Source organism: Homo sapiens, chromosome 11, assembly GCF_000001405.40.
Source record: "Homo sapiens chromosome 11, GRCh38.p14 Primary Assembly".
Classification (NCBI taxonomy): Eukaryota; Metazoa; Chordata; class Mammalia; order Primates; family Hominidae; genus Homo; species Homo sapiens.
Genome location: NC_000011.10, coordinates 85,360,225 through 85,381,920, shown reverse-complemented (window position 1 = coordinate 85,381,920; position 21,696 = coordinate 85,360,225). Strand labels below are relative to the sequence as shown.

The 21,696-nt window shown below is 36.6% G+C and overlaps 1 protein-coding gene across 13 annotated transcripts in view; it reads left to right on the top strand.

Annotated features, from left to right (window-relative positions):
• The window catches only part of DLG2 (discs large MAGUK scaffold protein 2), a 2,173,362-nt gene that overhangs the window by 246,453 nt on the left and 1,905,213 nt on the right, over positions 1 to 21,696 (top strand). Inside the window, exon 1 of one of the 13 annotated variants that reach the window (XM_017017258.2) lies at positions 2,682 to 2,782. The exons of the other annotated variants lie outside the window; for them this stretch is intronic. Within the exon in view, the coding sequence (XP_016872747.1) occupies positions 2,755 to 2,782 (28 nt within the window). The 5' untranslated portion in view covers positions 2,682 to 2,754. Of the gene's footprint in view, positions 1 to 2,681; positions 2,783 to 21,696 lie in introns of those variants that run through there. 13 annotated transcript variants of the gene reach the window in all.

Here is a 21,696-nt window from a genome sequence, read left to right as displayed (position 1 = left end):
ATCAGTTAGGGAGTATTGCCATCTTAACAATATTGCGTTCTAATTCATGAATATGGAATGTCTGTTTATCTATATCTTTACTTTATTTCAACAATGTTTTGTAGTTTTTAGTGTGCAAGCTTTACTCTTCCTTTGTTAAACTTATTAATAATTTAAAAAAAAATTTACAAATGGAATTGTCTTCTAAATTTTATTTTTGGACTGTTCATTGCTAGTATATAAAATACAATTAATGTTTGTGTATTAGTCTTGTATCCTACAACCTTGCTGAACTCATTTATTAGTTCCAATAGTTTCTTTTTTGTGTGTGAATTCCTTAGTATTTTCTATATACGAGATCATATCACCTGTAACTAGAGATAATTTGATTTCTTCCTTTTCAGTCTAGATGACTTTGATTTCTTTTTCTTGCCTAATTACCCTGGCTAAAACCTCCAGTATAATTTTGGAAAGAAATAAAGAGAGCAGCCATTCTTGTATCGTTCCTGATCTTAGGGGAAAACCTTTCAGTCTTTCACCATTAAGTATGATGTTAGCTGTGAGTTTTTCATAGATACCCTTTATTCATGTTGAAGAGGCTGGATCTGTTATACAGACTGATGCATTTGAACCTACCAATTTTTTTAAACATTGAACTAACATACAAATATTAGGAAACTTCACACAAAAATCTGAATTTCTGGCTTCACTTGAAAAACCAGAAAGTCTAATAATAATACTTGGCTCAAATTTGTACATGGCAATGGTTGCTGCATACTTTAAGTGCATGGCTGTGCTCTCTTCATTAGACTACAGTCGCTAGCACTCCTGATGGTATCTCTTATACTGAAGCAGAGTATAAGTTGTCTGCATTTGCATTCAACATTCCTTTTCTTATAGTAGAGAAATATTCATTTTTACCTAAGTTTTTCTGGGAAATAGAAGATAAACCAAAAAGTTCATGTGATTTTTCTGTAACTCTTAGCCGATGCTACTCATTTACATTTTTCCCTTGGTCTTGTTAGAGTTTTGAGTTTGTGGTTGCTGCTTCAGGGGATCTTCTCTGATTGGACAACTGGATGACTTAAATGTTTAGATCAGTCTAGTAAGAATTCTGGACTCCTATAAGTGTTGTCATTCCTTGGATTATCCTCAATAGCCTCTATAGAAATAAACTGGCCTTCAATGTGCAAATCCAATTTGATGCATAGTTAACTAGTTATGATGCTTCTCTGTTTCTCTGTCACTCCTCCATGTTCACTTTTTTTTATTGTTGTTGTTGAGATGGAGTTTCACTCTTGTTGCCCAGGCTGCAGAGCAATGGTGCAATCTTGACTCACCGCAACCTCCGCCTCCTAGGTTCAAGGGATTTTCCTGCCTCAGCCTCCCGAGTAGTTGGGATTACAGGCATGTGCCACCACGCCCAGTAAATTTTTGTATTTTTAGTAGAGACAGGGTTTCTCCATGTCGGTCAGGCTGGTCTCAAACTCCCAACCTCCAGGTGATCCTCCTGCCTTGGCCTCCCAAAGTGCTGGAATTACAGGCATGAGCCACTGTGCCCAACCCATGTTCACTTTTAAATATTCTTTTATTCAGTATAGTTGACCAGAATTTACCTTAATGAAATAAAATGATATGGAACGTATTTCGATGCAGAGATTTTTGAAAAGGGAATATTGAGGGAGAATTTCAATGTGGCAACATTGTTGTATACCACTGGAATAAACACTATATATATTGTAAACTTTTTCACAAAGGATCATGTCTTACATTTTTTGTATCTCTAGGGTCTAGCACAGCTAGGTTCAGTAGTTATGCATCAAATGAATGTTAGCTGTGGGTGATATTTAGGTGAGGAGTTCTTATGTGTGTAAAAATCTTGGGGGCAATATTTTGTGGAAAATCAAACGTAGTACTTTTATATTTTGTTGATACAGATAGTAATAGGAAATGATGTTCATCTTTTATGTAATTATTCTCAAATATTTGTAAGTGATAAGGCTTGTAAATAAGAAAACGTGACATTTTGTGACATATAAAAAAAGAGAAACAGCTAGTGAATTTTTGGAATTGAAATTATTTTCTGTGAGTAAAAAGTACCACCACCATTTAGCATTTGAGGGAGTTAGGTGAAGAGAACTCCTTCATATCTTACATGGTATAGTAGGGAAAAACAGCAGCCAGAAGTATCGTTGCAATCTCTATAATATCATTGCCAATCCACTGGCTCTAGGCTTTTGTGTTGTGGGAGAGCCTGGATTAGATAGTGTTTACTAATTTCCTGGAAGTAATATAGCCTGATTATAATAGTTGACTTTATAACATTAATGTTTCATTTTTATTGGTACCCAAATGGCTTTGACATTTTTGTTATATCCCAGAGTGCACATCCTCCAGCTCTAAGAAGAGACTTGTTTTGGGTAGTCTTAATATATTCAATGTAGCAACTGGTGTGAAAACAAATTATCGTTCCACTCTTAAGTCAATCTGCTTTTTCTGAGGAACATGTAGGGAGATAGAGCATTCCTGTACTAGGAGATGATTTTTTAAAATAATTTTCTTCTTGGTGACTTTCATATCACATGCTACATATCTTTGAAAGGATCTTGTTTAAACCTAAAGACAGGATTAAAAGTCAGCTGTTAGGGAGGAGCGTCTGTGGTTGTATGTTTGATGAGGTGGTATGAGCAAGGGACAGAGCTAGGGAGTCTAACAATGACTAGCAGACATTTATGTGTAAAAGTCTAAGTTCATCCCACTCTTCTCCGCATTTTCATGGAGTCCAAGGAAGTTCTTGTTCATTGTAAGTTAATTTACTTTTCTGTTGACCTACTTATGGTGAATGAAGCATGACTGGTGACTTGAAATATTTCAATGATTTGCTCACAAATATTGAATTCTGAAGTTATGTATTATTTGCTTTGTTTTGCTTGTTATTCCTACATTTATGATTATAAAACCAGCAATTTAAGTGCTGGTAAAGGGGATGCAAAATTAGAGCTCGTAACTTGAAGTGGTACTTAGAAATTTATGTGTATTTTTCCTGTCAGAATACCTAAAGTATAATTTTAATAGTAGGTACATGGAAAGATGTATTCAAACTTTTGTTATGTATGAAATCTTGTAAGTATTGAGAATAAACTTGTAATTTGGTTTGCCATTTTGGTGTGGTTTTAGTACTAAACTGCAAAATATTTTAATGGCATGTATTAAATATTGATCTGCCTACAAAGGAATTTAGGAGGTGTTGTCTATTTTATTTCCTAAGTGGTGATTTAATGTAAAATAGCTGAAGTAGTAGTTTTTCTTGTATAAAAATCAGTTAGATTTTGAAAAGATAGTTCATTTTTTTCTTCTTGCACACACACATCTATCTATATATATATTTAACAGCTAAGGATGATTATAAGTTTAATGGCTGTAATTAAATGAAGTGCTATATACCAAGTCTTATCTAATTTGGTAACTAGAAAATAGGTATAATCATTTTCATTTTACATATGAGGAAACTGAAGGTCAAAACAGTTAAAGTCTCCCAGCTTGTAAGTGATGAAATTGGGATTTATATCTATGTATATTTGTATTTATCTCTGTGCTTGACAATCTGACCTCAAAGCTGATGCTCTTACCATTATGAGACTTCATTTCATGAATAATCACAAAAAATTCACAGTAGTATTGCCAGTCCCTGTCAACTAGAGGAATGGAAATATGTTCAAGATGTGAAAATTATTTCTCCAATTTCTGTATGAATTGTTTGGAATTGTCACTGAGCTCCTTTTGGAGGAAGAGAAAAAAGACAATATTTTCCATGAAGTTTCTGTAAATCACATTGATTCTGCTTTCTTTTACTGTGGCTCAATGAAGTGTCATGTATTAATCTACATTCCAGAAAAATGTTGTCCCATGAAGAAAATATGTGGGAACAGCTGGTTATAGCAGCTGTAGGTAGTGACTGGAAATTCAGTCTCTATTTCTTTCTGTACAAATCTCCTTATAACTAATAAAAGGAGGAATTGAAATATGTGTATATATATATGTATGTGTGTGTGTGTTTGTGTGTGTGTGTATATATATGTATACACACACATATATGTATACACACATATATATGTATACACACACACACACACACACATATATATATATATATATATGTATACACACACAAATTGCACTTAGCAAGAAACAGAGCCACCATGGTATTGTTATTCAAGTTCTGTCTCAGAATCATAGAATATAAATGCCAAACAGCCTTAATTTGGGGCTTGAGTCCAATTATTAAGGAAACCAATGAGCAAACTTGAATGAATTAGCTCTCAGAAACTAAGGAACAATGTCTTTTTTAACCGCTATATCCCTAGAGTATATACAACAGAGTCATATATAAAGCTTTATAAATATTTGTTGATTCATGGGTTATTTTATTTAACAGGGCTGGTTAGTAGCTGAGGGTATAATCTGAATTTTTAGACATTCAAGCCCAGTACTTTTCTTACCATACTGTGCTGCTTGCTCCCATTCTCATCTCAAAGCACAATAATTGCTGCCTCCTTTCGAAAGGAGGAAACTCAAGCTTTCATAACTTGCCCAAGTTCACACAGGTAGGTTGACTGAGGCCTTAAAACCTGGTATGCTTGATGCCAAAGTTTATGTTCTTAGATGCCTTGCTAAGCTGTTGCTTCCTAGGACTAGAACTTCCATTATGTGTTACAGATTTAATTTGTACTTGCATTAATATTTTAAAGCCATCTTCAAAAAGAGTATGCAATCTCACTTTTTGACAGATGGTAGAGTTGAATTGTTAAGAATCAGGATTCTATAGCCAGACACAGTTTATATGCTACCTCTATCACTTACATGACCTTGGCTATGTTTCTTTGTGGCTTAGATTCATTATCCATAAAGGGTGGTAATAATAATACCTATTTCATGGAGTTGTTTGAGAATTAAGTACAAGGTGCTTAGAAGAGTGCCTGACATATAGTAAGGCGCACATGTGTTATTATTTTCTTGGGTATTCTTTCCCATTGGAAAAAATTTACCTTATATCCAGTACAGCTTAATCCTGTTGTCCTCTCCTTTTCTATCCTCCCGGGGATGCAAAGACTAGTAGTGGGGTATCACTCTCACTATCATACCACAGTCTGTTTACTTATCATGATGAAGTTGGTTTTCACCCTTTTCTAATGGTTGGTTTCTTAATCTTTAAACAAAGATCTGATTTTTCCAGTACTTATACTTGAAATACCGTAAGGAATTTTCTGTACTTACAGTAGGGAATAACATTAACATTTAGAGGATAAGAACATTTATTTTCATATGGTTTACAAAGGACAACCAAGTTTATTATAGCAGAAATGAGTAGTCTTTTTAAAAAGTTTTTTACTATACTGAAAGAACATCTGCTCTCTTGCCCAGATTAAGACAACTCTTATAGAGTGATATAGTAAATGAGCACTAAATAAAGGAATAAAAAAACTTGGTTCAGGCCTCTTGACATTTACCAGTTGTAAGACCATGAGTAGGAGAGTCCTCTTAGCCTCTTTCAGCCTCAGTTTCTTGACCTATGAGATTGACATAATAGTGAATTCTATGATTGTCTTATAATGTTTGATTTTAATCAAATGATGTTTTATTTTTTCAAGGCCCAAATTCAAATACTGCTTGCTGAATGAAGTCTTCCCTGACACCTCCAGTTAGATTTCATCTCTCCTCCCTCTATATTCCTATAACAATTTGCATCTCTACAATTTCTATTTCTTTGAGTTAAGCAGACCATATCTTCTACTGGATTGTAAGCCCTCTGTGGGGATGTATTCATTTTTTGTTTTTCGTAGACTGTCTGGTATAGTGCCTTGAGTATGTGCTCTATAACTACTTATTAGGTTGAAATAGTGCAATGGTGCTTTGTTAACTGGGAGTATATACAAATGTAAAATATTAATATCTATGTATACTTGGCATTTTTCTTTCTCATTGGACTTATTTTCTAACATGTGGCATCCTGTGTTTACTTAGACTTCTCTCTGTATCTCTAAATATCTTATCTTGGGGAGAGTCAACCAAGAGCACAATTAAAGTGTTTATTAAGTTTCTGAATGCAAATTGTATTGTCATAACTGCTGTCTAAATCAAATCATCATGGTCTCTTGCTTTACAAGAGCACAGTCAAAAATCATTATCAAATGCTTCCATGTGAGTTATGTTGTCCTTATTACTGTTCAAATTGAATTAAACAATTAGATCAGTGACTTTTAGACTAGTAGCATAAGCAGGAAATACCTGTGTGGGTATGTATACTTACAAAGGAGTACTGAAAAATACTGAAAAAATAAAACTACATTGATTGATTATATAACAACTTTTGTTGTGAATGACAACTGAAAAGGACAGTTTTTTTGTTGTTGTTTTTGGTTTTTTTCCCATAGAAACAGGTCTGGCTATGTTGCCCAGGCTGGTCTCAAACTCCTGGCCTCAAGTGATCCTCCTGCCTCAGCCTCCCAGAGTGCTGGGGTTAGGCGTGAGCCACCATGCCCAGTCGAAAAAAGAGCAGTTTTAGATTCGGGTGTTTGATCTGGTTGATTAGGCAAGAAATCATCACATCACTTCTTAACTGTGAAGATCTATGTGTATTGAACTTTCAAAAGTTTTCAACATAGTCCCCAGTAGTTATTTAATGCATTTTGCTTATTCTCCAATATTCTACAAGGTCATACAATTATTCTTCTGTGATATTTGATCAGTTTGGTCAGAAATGAGGATGTTTATATCCAGTATCATTACAACTAGAGAAATAATACCTTACTTGTGAATGTAGAAAATGTTCCAGGATAAAAAAAAAAGAAAAGAAAAAAGAAGGAACAAAGGGAAAAAAAAAGAAATGAAAAGGAATAAAGAAGTAAAAAGAAGACATAGTTGTTTATATTTGCTAACTGGTACTAAACTTTATGTCTTCGTGTGTGTGTGTGTGTGTTTGCTGAATAATTTGAAATTAAATTGCAAGTATCGTAACATTTCAGCCCTAAAGGTTTTAGTATATATCTCCTAAGAACAAAGATAGTCTCTGACAGAACCTCAATACCACTATCACATTTTCTGTTTTTTTCTTGTTATAGATATATATGATTATTGTTTTTGGTTTTCTTTTCATTTGGAAATGTTTTAAATTTTCTTGAGCCAGCAATGATAGAAGATTCTTTGTAGTTAGGGTGAGGTACTTGAGTGGTTTCTAGGTTTTGAGTGCCAGTACCCTCTTTTATTGCTGTAGTAAAGTTTATTTTAAAAATATTTGACCCGCTGCAGTGGCTCATGCCTGTAATTGCAGCACTTAGGGAGGCTGAGGCGGGTAGATCACCTGAGGTCAGGAGTTTGAGACCAGCCTGGCCAACCATGGCCAACATGGTGAAACCCCATCTCTACTAAAAATACAAAATTAGCCAGGTGTGGCTGTAGGACATAAGTATCTTTATAGCTCAGGAGTTCTCTGACTTTTACATTTTACCTCATATTGGTGATTAATCACCTTTAGTCTTGCATTGTCTTTCTTTAAAGCTTTGATCACATTCAACAACATCCATTCAAATCCATGGTTTTTATAATTATTATTTCCCCAAAACCTCTTGTGTGACTGGGATGTCATAACTACCAGTGCATTCCTTCCCTCTGTTTTTTTTCTCCCAGTTCACCACAGGTGAAAGTTTTAGTAACTTCATCATTATAACATGCTAAGAATTATCAGTTTTTACTTACACCACCAATAAAGTTCTCACTGGCCAGAGAGCCACTGGGTGTTGCAGCTCAAAAACTGTCTGCTTTTTTTTTCATATAATTCCTTGCACAAAGCATCTTAGGTCAGTGGCCCTGAAAAGCAGATTCTGAGATGAAGAATTTGCACATAGAAAGTTTATTAGGAAGTGTGCTCAGGAACAATACTTATGAGTTAGTGAGAATGTAGGATTGGGCAGAGTGACGTGTTACATGAAAAGTGGCTATCATAATATCCTCCACTGATCCACAGGAGCTCTGAAACTCAGATATCCTTTCAGAGTTGTCCTAAATTGAGGCAAAGGGGCCAGATCTACATTGACCAGTCATTATGTTGCAGGACTTTTCCTTAGTTCAGCTAAAGACGTGGTTCTTGTCTGCCCCATGGCCATGAAAATTTAGGCTCACAGATGGTTTAAAGGGTGAGTAAAGCAGGGTTTTATTGCATGAAAAGGGAAAAAAGGGGAAAACAGGGACTCTTACAAGGCCAAAGTCCCTTTGCTAGATAGAGTGCTTCCTGCCTGCCTCTTGAATTGCAGGTTCCACACAGGAAGAAGAGGGGCCAGGCTCCTCCCTGAAGCAAATGTCGTGAACTTCCTGAGGCTCCACCCCAATGGGCAGGCTGGTTGGAGTTTCTCCAGGGACTCTTTCCCATCTGACTATCTCATTCCTGCCTCCAAAGAAGTACATCTAACTGATGTTAGATTAAGGATAAGGATGAAGACTGATCTTAAATGCTTCCTGCTGACATGGGCCGCTGTTTTGGGGAAATGGCAGTCAGAGCTTCCCTAGAAGCCTAAGTGTTCCTGGTAGGAGGGGCCATCATCTGAGGCTCCAGTTGTGTGACTGGAGTTTGATGGCCTGAATGCAAGAACAGACAAACCAGATTATTAGGAAACATGTATCAAAATGAAACAAGGGGAGGGTTAAGGACAGCTCAAAAATTCCAAGGCCTTTTACCAGTTTGCACAGAGAGAGGGAAGCCAAAAGTCCGACTGGTTAAAAAAAGCTTTACCCTTTGGCCAGCATGTTGGACTTCCGGGTTCCCTTCCCTAAGCCCAAACCTAGGTCGACCAGTTTAAGGTTTGGGAAATTAACTCTTTTCAGTTTGGAGGATGCATCTGAGGGGAGTGTCCCATGGTATGGAGACACAATTACCTATCTGAAGAGAGAACCGAGGAAGAGAAAGGAAAAATAAAGCATTTTTTAAAGGAGTCCCAAGGGTTCAGGATGCATTTGAAATGGGTACAGACTGAAGGTGAGTGGCTACCCATCTAGAAAAAAGGGAGCAGGTGTCCCTGGTTCTCTTCTCTTCCTAACAGATACCAGGGGTACTTCAGGGAGAGAGGGAAGAGCGTCCACTTTCCCTCTTCCATCCTTGTATTCCTGAGTTCTGGCAACCTTGGCAGGTGCTGCCATGAGTGCCAAAGTGGCTGTACCCATGAAGCAGAGAGGGCCTAGAGAATAGGAATTATTCGCTGTCACCTATGTCTCTTTCCTACCTAGTCTTAGTAGCCTTAGAGTTCCCTAGACCTCATTTATGCCATGGATATTAATGTGGCTTTTATCCATGAAACAAAAAGCTTGGGGTTGCCTTAATTGGCAGTAATCAGCCACGCTCACCTGCACTGTGTGTTTTAACCTTCATTATCATTTGCTTCTGGATCCCTTAGATACAATTTTCTTTCCTAGGGCTTTGACCCGAAGCTTGGAATTGAGTCTGAGACAAAATGTATCTCAGGGGGGTTGCATGGACTCCTTATCATAAACCAAAGGCTAAGTAAAGCTGTGGAACTGAGTTCTCCTCCAAGGGAGAGGAAAGGATGTCTTGTTACACACCCAGATAATTGGTAGCTATAGTTATGCTTGCTAGGATTTGGCTGCCTGGTGCCCAGCCTTGGTCAGCTCCCTCAGTCTTACTTTCCCAAAAAGGAAACTTCCAAGTGATGGATATTCTACTTATTCCCATCACCTGGCAGGATTTGCAGGATAACTGCTCAGAACTAGAATATTGATCCAGATTTTTATATTACCCATCCCTTTAGTTCTTTCGGAGCTACAGCTGGAGATTGCTCCTTGGTTCAAAGGAACAAGCAGGGTTAGTCTAAAATGTAGACAAAAACTTAAAAACAGCTAGTGAGTTTAGAATTTAATGACAAATGTATAAGTTTTGAAATATAATTTCTCTCTCTCCAGTTCTCATTTTTGTTAAAAAACAAATTATGTCAGGACTGAGTGGTTTGCAAAAGGGACTTTAGTCTTATACTTGGCCTGATTATTTGCATAAAGTAGAGCAAGAATAACTATTTCTACATAGGCCTTTTGGACTGGCTTTGATGGAAGTGTGTACCACAAGGAATCACGGATAAGACCTTTTAAAACCAAGCCCAGCCATGGGTTTTCATCTTCAAATACTTGTGAGTTGGGTGATCCTCTCCAAAGGTCCCAAGATAAACTTGGAGCTCCTATCCCTGTTATAAAGTGACATTCTTTACTGACCACAGGTCAAGAACTCTGCACAGGGACAGCATAGACAAGGGTATGAGGCCAGTTTCCCCATGGGGCTTTTATTGGCTCTGCAAGTCAAGCTTCACTCCTCAAACGGAAGCATACCCTTCCAGTCAAAGCCTTGGTAAAATAACTACTTTCTCCAATTGTGTCCTGTTGCAAAAGAAAAATGGATTCTTATTGCACTGATGCACATAACTATATTGTCATAAGAATACTCACAGATAGTTTCTAAATTCTAGAGGAACCAGGCAGAGAGTAACCAACATGTTTCAAATTTCATTCATAGGAGTATACCTTACTCAATTATTAAAGGCCGTAAATAGTCCAAAATAAGTTTCCTTGACTCTGAAAAACAAAACATGGATTAGCAATATTCCAAGCGAAAGTCAAAAAGGTTGCTTCAGCTTCCTGAGTTCAGTCCATTTAGTTAACTCCTGTTTTGCTTGATATTCATGAACATTTCAGCTCTTCATGAGTCCTGGGCATGTTCCTGTATTCCAATGTCACAATATCCAAAGTTATCAGAAGTCTGTATTTGAGAGCACCTGTTAAAGTTCTATAGCTCATTATAAACCATCTTTGAAAAGGATTAAAACAAGACAATTGTCTGTGAATAACAAAATGTCCAGGGTAGCTACAAGCAGAAACACTCATGTCAGAGAAGTTTGGTTAACTCCATGGCTTACAATAACTTAACATAACAATGTTAGTTGTGATTGGTAGCATATACTTAGACATTAGAATTTTAGAAATCCCATACAATTCTGGAACATATATTAGCATTATATATATAACCATATATAGTACCAATATATAACCTAAAGAAGATTGAGCATCATTTTGGAAATCCCATCTACCTAAACATGTCAAATAATCCTGTTTACCTCTCTTTTCTGGACACGTCAGGGGCCCTCTGAAGTACTCAAAAAGCCAGGTGCCAGGGAAGACAATTTTGAAACTGAAGTTTGATTTTCGGAAGGCTGTTAAATGTTTGAGGTGTAAAATACTTGATATTATAAAATAGAATTCCAGAGTACCGTAAGGTAATTATTTTGCCAAAATGATGACTCAGAAATTTTAAAGAAGCAAAAACCTTTTATAACCACTTACAAATGTTGCCAAAGAGCAGATTGGTGCCATAGGAAAACCTTGTTATGCATTTATTTGAGTGCTCAATTTACAGAAAAACCATATAATACCCTTTTTTGAATTTAGTCAATACGTTCACATGAAGAACCTCTTCTGCAAGATTAATTTCCACAGTTGTTGCACTACTTCTTTTAACCTTCAGCTTTTTCCTAATTTAACTCAAAACAATCCTTTAACTCTAGGCAAAAGTTTACATTTCCATGCCTTCTTATAACCTTTTACTAAAAAACACATTTTACTGTTCTTATACACCTTTCATGTAAATCTATTTCTAGTAGTTTCAGTTAACTCCTAGGCATTTTTAACTTTAAGGTAAAACTTGGTAAGTTGCTTTAATTGTGTGCTAACTGCAGCCAAATTTTGCCTTCTTAATTAAGGGCATGGTTAGTTCCGTATGTCAGTTCCATAGGCCTTATCAATTGTGAAGCCAGCAAGTCAAATACTTTTCAAAACCCAAAAACCAGTTTGTAACCTCAAAACACTTGGCAAACCTTGCATCTGACCTGCATTCTTCAGTTCACCTATTTACATTTTAATGACATCTACATTTTACCAATAATCTTTAAGGCTGATTTTATTTCTCAAAGATTAAAGTCATGTGACCTGAAAGGTACCACAGCTTTTATCTTCCCTTTTTAAAAAATACTTGATCCAAGACCCTTTCTTTAGGCCACATGAATCAGAGCTCCTTGTACAGACATCACAGTACACACACAGACAGGCAGAAGAAAACCCAGTGGTTGTGGTGTCCTTTAAGAGACAGGGCTAGGAAAACCTGCAGATATTGAACCAGAGAGAGCTCATCCCCTAAGGCAGGGTTGCTAAACAAAGCCTTGCCAAGCACTTACCAGCTATGCCCCCAGGATGTAAAGCAAGATGGAGGCTTGGAGCACAAACCATGCAGACAGGCAAAGCACACCAGATGGGCCATAGCCAAAGACTAGCCCCACAAATCCTTTTTCATGACCAAAACTTTACAGAGAGTACAAACAGTGATAGTTGGGTTGCCTGGTCTAGTAAAAACGTCTTCTAAAAGGAAAAAAAAAGTTAAAGGTTAACTGCTGACGGGGTAGAGAAGGGGAAGAAAAAAAAAACAGTTTAAAAATGCCTGGGGAAGAACCTCTTATTGTTATGAAAGTGGTTCCTCCACCAGGAGAAAAGCTTAATTACTGTCAGAAAAAGCTGAACCTCTTGGCGGGGGGAAAGGGAAGGCTGCTGTGGCTTTTGTCTGGGAGCCAGCCAGCTAGCTGTGTGGGACCCTTGGGCCATACACCCCAGCCTCCACACAGAGGGGAGGGGGAGCAAGGAGACCCCGCTTGCCTGTCCATCCTGAAAAAGGAAGAAAAGGGCCTTTCCTCCGACCCCCAAGAGTGACAGGGCTTGGCGGCTTGTTTCCCCCACCCTCAGTAGTCTGAGGATGAAAATGCTTAGGAGCAATAGTGAGAGATTTTGAGTCCCCATTTCATTCACTGCTTTTGGAGCCCCATGTTTGGTGCCAAAAATGTTGCAGGACTTTTCCTTCGTTTAGCTAAAGATGGGGTTCTGGGGAATCAGGGACTCTTGCAAATCCAGAGTACCTCCACTAGAGTGCTTCCTGCCCACTGCCTGAATCCCAGGCTCCACACAGGAAGAAAAGGGGTCAGTCTCCTCTCTGCTGCAAATGTTGTGAACTTCCTGCGGTTCCACCGCAGTGGGCAGGCTGGTTAGAGTTTCTCCAGGGACCCCTCCCACCTGGTTGTCTCAGTTAGAAGCTGTCTACCTTTGGGAAACAGGTGTGACCCTAGATGAAGGAATTCCCTTTGAGCTGAGAGCAATTTATTGAGAGAGACTCAGATATGCACTGTTGGCCACCAACAATCCTGGAAGTTGGGAATTGAAAGCGTTGGTTCTGATTGGGAGATCTGGGTAGTACACCTCGTTCTATACTCTAGAAGACAAGAGAAAAAGTAGGAAGATGCATCAGAAGATTAATGAAATACTCCGGGTGAGAGATAATGATAGGTTGGAATTTAGGAGAACAGTGGAGGTGGTGAGGCAATTGAATTTTGGATATATGTCAAATGATTTGTTGGTGGATTAGATGTCAAAGAAGAGAAGTATCAAGGGTATCTTCAAAGATTTAGACCTGAACAACTGGAAGAATAAAGTTGCCTCATCAATTTATTGAGAAGTGATGGCTAGCACAGGGCTTTGTCTTCTTAAAGCAGCTGTATTAACTGAAGAATGCAACCTCACGTTTGCAATTTCTAGCTGAATTAAAGAATATGGGCTTATAATTTTCTCTTTTCACCACATAAACTACCTAAATTGATCCAATTAGAAATTGAAAACATGAATAGACTCATAACCTTGGAATAAATTAAAATTTTGTCAAAGAATTAACTTTAATGAAACAAACTCAGGTAGGGTTAAAATCAAATACATGTAAACTTTCAAAGATAGGTAAGTCTCATGATTGGTGCTTATTTCCAAACTAGTGAAATAGCAAAGAAACTTTCTAATTTTAGGAAAATAGTGTATATAAAAACTGAACACTAAAAGAAAATACAGATTAATCTCATTTATGAATATAGTTTAAAAATACTAATAAGAGAACTAATCTAATTCAAGAGTACATTAAAAAGTTCCAAGAAAGATTTGTTCTATAAATGCAATGGAAATTACTATGAGAAAATCTATTAATATGGCATATCATTAATAAATAAAAGATGCAACCGAAATAGGTAATAGTAATAGCTCACATTTGTTGAATGCTATAATGAGCTATGTTCTAGGCATTATTGTAAGTGCTTTAAGTATATATATGTTCAGTTAATTCATACAAAATTCCCATGAAGTATTTTATCTTCATATTTTAGATGAGAAAAACTGACACACACAATGTTTAGTAACTTGCTCAAATGCACATAATTAGCATATGAGAAAGCTAAGATATGAAAACAAGAACATGTAATATTGATTAAGCCACTCTGTCAGAGCACCTCCCAATATGCAACAATAATAATAGTGCCATAATATTTATATTTGGCTAACATTTTCAAGTGCTTACTGTGTGGTGGATACTACATTAAACACTTTAAATGAATTAACTCATCCTCACTAAAACCATATGACACAGATGCTAATATCATTATTCCCATTTTACTGACAGGAAAAGTTAGGTAGAGAAAGTTTAAGTAAACTCTTCAGCATCAGTCGGCTATTAAGCAGTGAATTATGATTTGGATCCAGGCAATCTGCTTTCAGAGCAGTTGCTATACTGCCTCTAGAACATTTGAACAATCATCCCTCATAATAAATGAAGGAAAACAATATGAAACAAACAAAAAACTATGTTATTAAACTAAATTAAAGGGATGATTCCTTGAAATTATTTTTTAAAACGTTGATCTAAAATCGCATTCTGTATTCTATGTCATACTTCATGGAATTGTTAACGCTAAATACATTGCCATTAAATTCAGTAACAAGGTGTTGAAGTATTCAGGCAACAGTATCTTTAGTAAAACTTTTCTGGAAGTATACTATAAAAAATGTGAAAATTATTCAATGAGAAAAACAAAATCACAGTGATACATAATTGAAATGACATCATGACATCATAAACAAGGAATTCACAAAAATATAGTTAATAATGGTTGACTTAAAAAGTGAAAAGTTCAAGAAAGTTTGCAAAGCTTATAAGATTAATAGTATTCAAGACTGATGAGAATATGTTAACAGAGAAACATTTGTTCCCTGTTGGTGGGAAGAAAATAAATCCAACGATTATGGCTATATATACATCAAAATGTATACTTTAACTCTCTTATCCAGCAAATTCCCTAGGAACTTATCCTCTACCCCCCAAAAATTCTGAGATATGGCTAACAATTTCTTTATAAGAATGTTAATTTCAGTATTATTTAGAATAGCTAAATATTAAATATAACCTGAATGTCTAACAAAAAATATTGGTTTTTAAATATGCAATGTCCATTTAATAGGATATATCCATTTGTTAGAAAACCATGGAGGAATTAGTTAACTGAAATTGGACTTCTAAGTTTCTCCTGTTTCTAATGCCCATACAAATTAATGACTTTTTGTTTTTGAGTCTGGCTTGATAATCCTCTAGAGTAATAATTTTCTTTTTAGATATTTATTTATATATATTGTGCAAAGAAGAAAAAAAGCTACATTCTATTTAGTTGTGGGAAGAGGAGTGGGATGAAATAGAAAAAATAAAAAATAGGCAGTGATGAAACTGGTGTTTGTAAAGATAAGGTGAAAAGCTATGTTATTTCACATGAAGACATATAAATCAACAGGTTTCTCATATTCTCCATACCTCCAAATGTGCCTTTCTTAGAATTATAGCAATCCAGAGCTAGCAATTACATTTTGGTAATGTCTGGGACTGCCCCCATCCTCAACTCCAACATCCTTATTTTATTTTATTATACTTTAAGTTCTGGGATACATGTGCAGAACATGCAGGTTTGTTACATAGGTATACATGTGCCATGGTGGTTTGCTGCACCCATCAACCTGACATTAGGTGTTTCTCCTAATGCTGTCCCTCCCCTAGCCCCCCACCTCCTGGCAGGACCTGTTGTGTGATATTTTCCTCCCTGTGTCCACGTGTTCTCATTGTTCAACTCCCACTTATGAGTGAGAACATGGGGTGTTTTGTTTTCTGTTCCTGTGTTAGTTTGCTGAGAATGATTGTTTCCAGCTTCATCCACATTCCTACAAAGGACATGAACTCATCCTTCTTTATGGCTGCATAGTATTCCATGGTGTCTATGTGCCACATTTTCTTTATCCAGACTATCACTGATGGACATTTGGGTTGGTTCCAAGTCTTTGCTATTGTGAATAGTGCTGCAATAAACATACATGTGCATGTGTCTTTATAGTAGAATGATTTATAATCCTTTGGGTATATACCTAGTAATGGGATTGCTGGGTCAAATGGTATTTCTGGTTCTAGATACCTGAGGAATCACCACAATGTCTTCCACAATGTGTGAAATAAGTCTACTGGTTCAATTGAAGATACAGAAGTTCAATTTTAAAGGTTAACACAGATTCCAGATAACTCTTCCTCTTGTCATTCAACTGTGCAGTTCCCAGCCCTTTCCTACCAGACTTACACGTGTGCAAGTTAATGAATCAAAGAATAGAGAATTTGACCTATTTAAATATCAGACTCATAAATTATATATAGGCATGTGATCTTCTCATTCTCTCCCATTATTGTTTTCTGGGATACCCTTTGCCATTAATCTTACCTGCACAAAGAAGGATGCTATTTAGGATAGTATTACAAAAAGAGCCGCTCCTGAGAGTCAGCAAGGTGGGATGCCGTCCTAGGTTTGCTAATGATTTTTTTTAAGTTAGATTTTTATAAACAACAATTCTTGTGACTAAATAATTGACCAGCTGTATGGTGTTAGGAAACTTATTTCATGTTTTTTGGCCTTATATTCTTACATTTTTGTCTGTAGGGTGAGGGTCCCAGATTAAAGTATGACTGGCATTCTTTCTTGCCCCCGTCTATAATTCTAATCCTCTCTAGGAGATGGAAGCACCTTTATAATTTTTTGGTGATACATGGTGGTTAAACAATGTACCAACTCTGAACCAAAAAAAAAAGCTCAGAAGGATAGGGAAAAACAAAAAAACTATGTGATAAAACTAAATTAAAAGAATGTTTCCTTAAAGCTATTTTGAAAATCTATCTGAAATCACATTCTATGTCATGCTTCATGGAATTGTTAACACTAAATGTATTACTATTAAAGTCAGTAACAATGAATATTATAAGGGCTTAACAATTCTGTCTAGTTTATGTTCCCCAAGAAGAGGCCCCCAAACAAGTATTCACATTTATGTTTAAATGGTTTTTTTCAGAGATGATCCCAGAAAGCATCAGAAGGGCAGTAAGGAAAAAAGGCAGGGAAGGTAAGGTAGCTAATAAAGGATGCATTAACAAGCTAGTACCTTAATCTCACTGGCAACTCCATGTGTCAGTGTAGAATCAGTCAGCCTCAATTAATTATATCTCTGTCACCCACAGTGACGAAGCAGCTAGGGTATTTATTATATACTAATCCCTGTCAATTATTAGTTAAGGGCTGCTTCTTAGTGGGAAGGAGTATCTCTTGATTCCCTGGTACTCCAGTCTGCTCTGCATACTGGCAGAGTGGACTTTAGCTCCAGAAAAAGCCCTAAGGCAGTTTGGAAGTCTGGCTTGCACCATAATAGTAAGGCCTAAGGAATATGGTTGGGGGCATAGACAGTGTTTGCTACACCATCTTAACAAGATCATTCTAGATACTGATACAAATACCTATATTTTTAGGCATTAGTGATTTTTTTTCTATAAGTAGAAACATAGCTGGACCTCAGCCAAGGTGCTTATTACTGCAGAAATGAAAGAACCTTGTTATAACCCAGCTCATCTGTAGAACATTGGTCTTCAGCACCAACTGCTAATACAATTATATATACTTTCTGACAAATCTTCTATTAATAATAGGAAACATGACTTTTGTTTTAAGACTGGAAAAGACTAGACCCACTTTAATCCTATGAACCAATCATCCTGCAAACCATATGAGAAATGATGCTGTCAACTTGTAATATACAAACTATAATTTCCCTGCATTGCATGGGAAGAGGGACTCTGAATTTATCCTCAGTAACCATTGTTATACTTTGACAACTATATGAAAAGATGAATGAACATTTCCATGTCTTATGAACATTAAAATGCCAAAGCACTTAAAATTTTTTCCAAATGACTAGATCCTAGCATGATGTCTGTTACATAGTAGGTACTTAAAAGGTAAAATATAGTTTTTGAAATGTATTTACCATTCACAGTGAACCTTCAGGATTAAATTGGTCCTTTCTCTTATTTATTTTCAAAGATTGAGCTCCTACAACATGTTAGGCACTGCTAATTTAGAACTTTAGCTAGATGAATGTCTGTGTATTATCTGGCAGAGATAAATAACTCAAGTTTCTTACTAATATTAGACAACATAGTTAACCATAGATGTCTTCCTACAATTAGAAGAAATCGTCATCCTTAATGTAAATTTTAGAGACTTGTTTGTTTTTCAAAAACTCTTCCTCTATCTGTTCAAGCCTCCTTTCCTTTCCATTCCCCTTCATTATTCTAGCTGTTTGACAGCTTCCTTAATAGGAGAATAGCTTACTAAAAACTCCTGGGAAATTTATAGAAGATTACGCACAGAGGCAGTCTCTGCATTTCCTGTATTTCTTCTTAGTAGGACATTGCATTTAATTGATAAGTCAGTTTGTGCCTAGTAAATACCATGATGGTTTCACTTACTCTTCAGATGTTCTAAAATATGTAAACTGTGTGGATAATTTGGTACTTGCCGAAGACTCCTAACCCCACTGCTCCAGAAATCACAACACTCTTTTGTTCACTAATTGTTTTAAGGTTCAATCTAGTTAGTTAACTGTGAAATTTTGCATCTTCTGTGACAGTGTGTGCAAGCTTTGTTACTATGCCTGTCATTAAACCAGCTCTACCTTTAGTCCTGGCAAATTAGTGATGCTTTTGCAGTTAGCTCAGTAATTTTTAGAGAGAAAATTTTGCTTTTATTAAAGGCTGCTCCTCAACTTTATTCCTGTGTCCTTGACATGCTCAAAGTTTTAGAATAAGATACTCAGTATCAACAAAATAAATTGAGTCATTTTTGTTTTTTCATTTATTCAATAATTTCAAAAAAGAAAAATATCATCCCTGAGAGGTCAAAGATAAAAAAGGAATAATTTCATTTATTTACTAAAAGGAATAATTTCACTTATTTACAAAATGGCATGTTTTGTAAAGAAAAGTCTGTGGAAGTCCTTGCCAGAGCAATCAGGCATTAAAAAAAAATAAAAAAAAAGGCATCCAAATTGGAAAAGAGGAAGTCAAATTATTTCTGCTCACTGATGATATGATCTTATATCTAGGAAACTCTAAAGACTCCACCAAAAAAACTCTGAGATTCGATAAATGAATACAGTAAAGCTGCAGGATACAAAATCAACATAAAAAAATCAGTAGCATTCTATACACCAGTAGTGATCTATCTGAGGACCAAATCAAGAAGGCAATCTCATTAACAATAGCTACCCAAAAAACCCAAAAACAAACAACAAACAAACAAACAAAACCTAGGGACATATTAAATCAGGGAGGCAAAAGATCTCTATAAGTAGAACTACAAAAAATAAACAAATCACAGGAGGCTGGGCATGATAGCTTATGCGTATAATTCCAGCACTTGGGGTGCCCAAGGTGGGAAACGGCTTGAGCCCAGGAGTTCAAGACCAGCCTGGGCAACATAGTGAGACTCCCTCTCTACAAAAATGCAAAAATTAGACAGGTGTGCTGGTCCATGCCAGTAGTCCCAGCTACTTGGAAGGATCACTTGAGCCTGGGAGGTCGAGGCTGCAGTGAGCCATGATTGCACCACTGCACTCCAGCCTCAGTGACACAGCAAGACTTTGTCTCAAAAAAAGAGAACTAAATCATAGATGACAAGAACAAATGGAAAAAAATCCCATGCTCATGGATTGGAAGAATCGGTATCTTAAAATGACCACACTGTCCAAAGCAATCTACAGATTCAACACAATCCCTATCAAATTACCAATGTCATTTTCCCCAGAATTAGAAAAAACAATCCCCAAATTCAAAAGGAACGAAAAAGGAGCCCAAATACACAAAGAAATCCTGAGCTAAAAGATCAAAGTTGGAGGCATCACATTACTGACTTCAAATTAAACTACAAGGCTATAGTGACCAAAACAGCGTATATACGCACATGCTGTGGATACTACTCAGCTATATAAAAAGTCCTGAAATCATGTCTTTTGCAGCAACAAGGATGGAACTGGAGGCCATGATCCTGACTGAAATAACTCAGAAACAGATAGTCAAATATCACATGTATTCACTTACAAGAGGGAACTAAACAATGCGTACACATGGACATGCAGAGTGGAATAATAGCCATTGGAGACTCCAAAAGGTGGGAGGGGGTGAGGGTTGAAAAATTATTTATTGGGTACAATGTTCAGTATTGGGTGATGGGTACACTGAAAGCCCAGACTTCACCACTACAGAATGTATGCATGTAAGAAATCTGCACTTGTACCCCCTAAGTATATAAAAATTAAAAAAAAAAATAGAAAAGTCTGTGGAATAAGCAGCTACTCGGGAGGCTGAGGCAGGAGAATTGCTTGAACCAGGGAGGCGGAGTTTGCAGTGAGCCAAGATCGTGCCACTGCACTCCAGCCTGGGTGACAGAGTGAGACTTTGTCTAAAGAAAAAAGTTTGTGGACCAAGAATAACAGAATCTGGGGTCTGGGATCTGGCATGACTGTGCCTTTAACAAGACAAATTGTGTGACCTTGTACAAGTCACTCAGACTCTCTGTTTTCCTGATCCATAAAAAAGAAGAAGATTTTATTTTTTTTTCATAGAGCTGTAAAAATACAATGAAATACTATAGGGAAGAGCTTTACATACAATGAGACTCTCTATACATGTAAGGTATTTTTGCTATTACTACTATTATTACCACTGTAGTCATTTATAAGTTGGTGACCTTGGCTAAGTTAACTTTTCTGAGCTTTCATTTCCTCACTTGTATGAAGACTTCTTCTGTGTTCAATTTTATGTTGATACCAGGAGAGATTTTATTGAGAAGGGCGTCCTGGAAGAGAATTTTGAAGTTGAATCACTCTTAGCTTGGGAGAAGGGGAGGACACTTCCAGTAAAGTTGAAAGTGTGAGCAAAGTTTGAAGCATCCTGGTAATTTAAAACTGGAAGCAATTTGGAAGGAGCCTCCTGTGTGGTGGGATAAAAGTCAAAGATAAGACTCCACGGAGAAGATCAGACCAAACTAATCAGTTAGGACAGCATTCTCCAGTGAAGAGGTGGCCCTGACTGATTCTAAGCAAAAATAAGACTTACAGCTATGAGGAGGATGAACTGGGTTGTAGAAGAATAGTAGTGAAGGTAAGACCCGGCTAATAACAAAACTTACCATGTACTAAATGCTTACAGAACATTGTGCTAGGCTTTTTACATGTCTTATGTCATTTAATCCTAAGAACAATTATGTGACTTAAGCCCTAATATTATTCTCCTCCTACAGGTGAGGAAACGGAAGCACAAAAAGGCTAAGCCACACTCAAAGTTACACACCTAGTGATTAGAAGAATGGAAGCCTTTCAGACATTACAGCCTATATTCTCAGTTGTTACAGT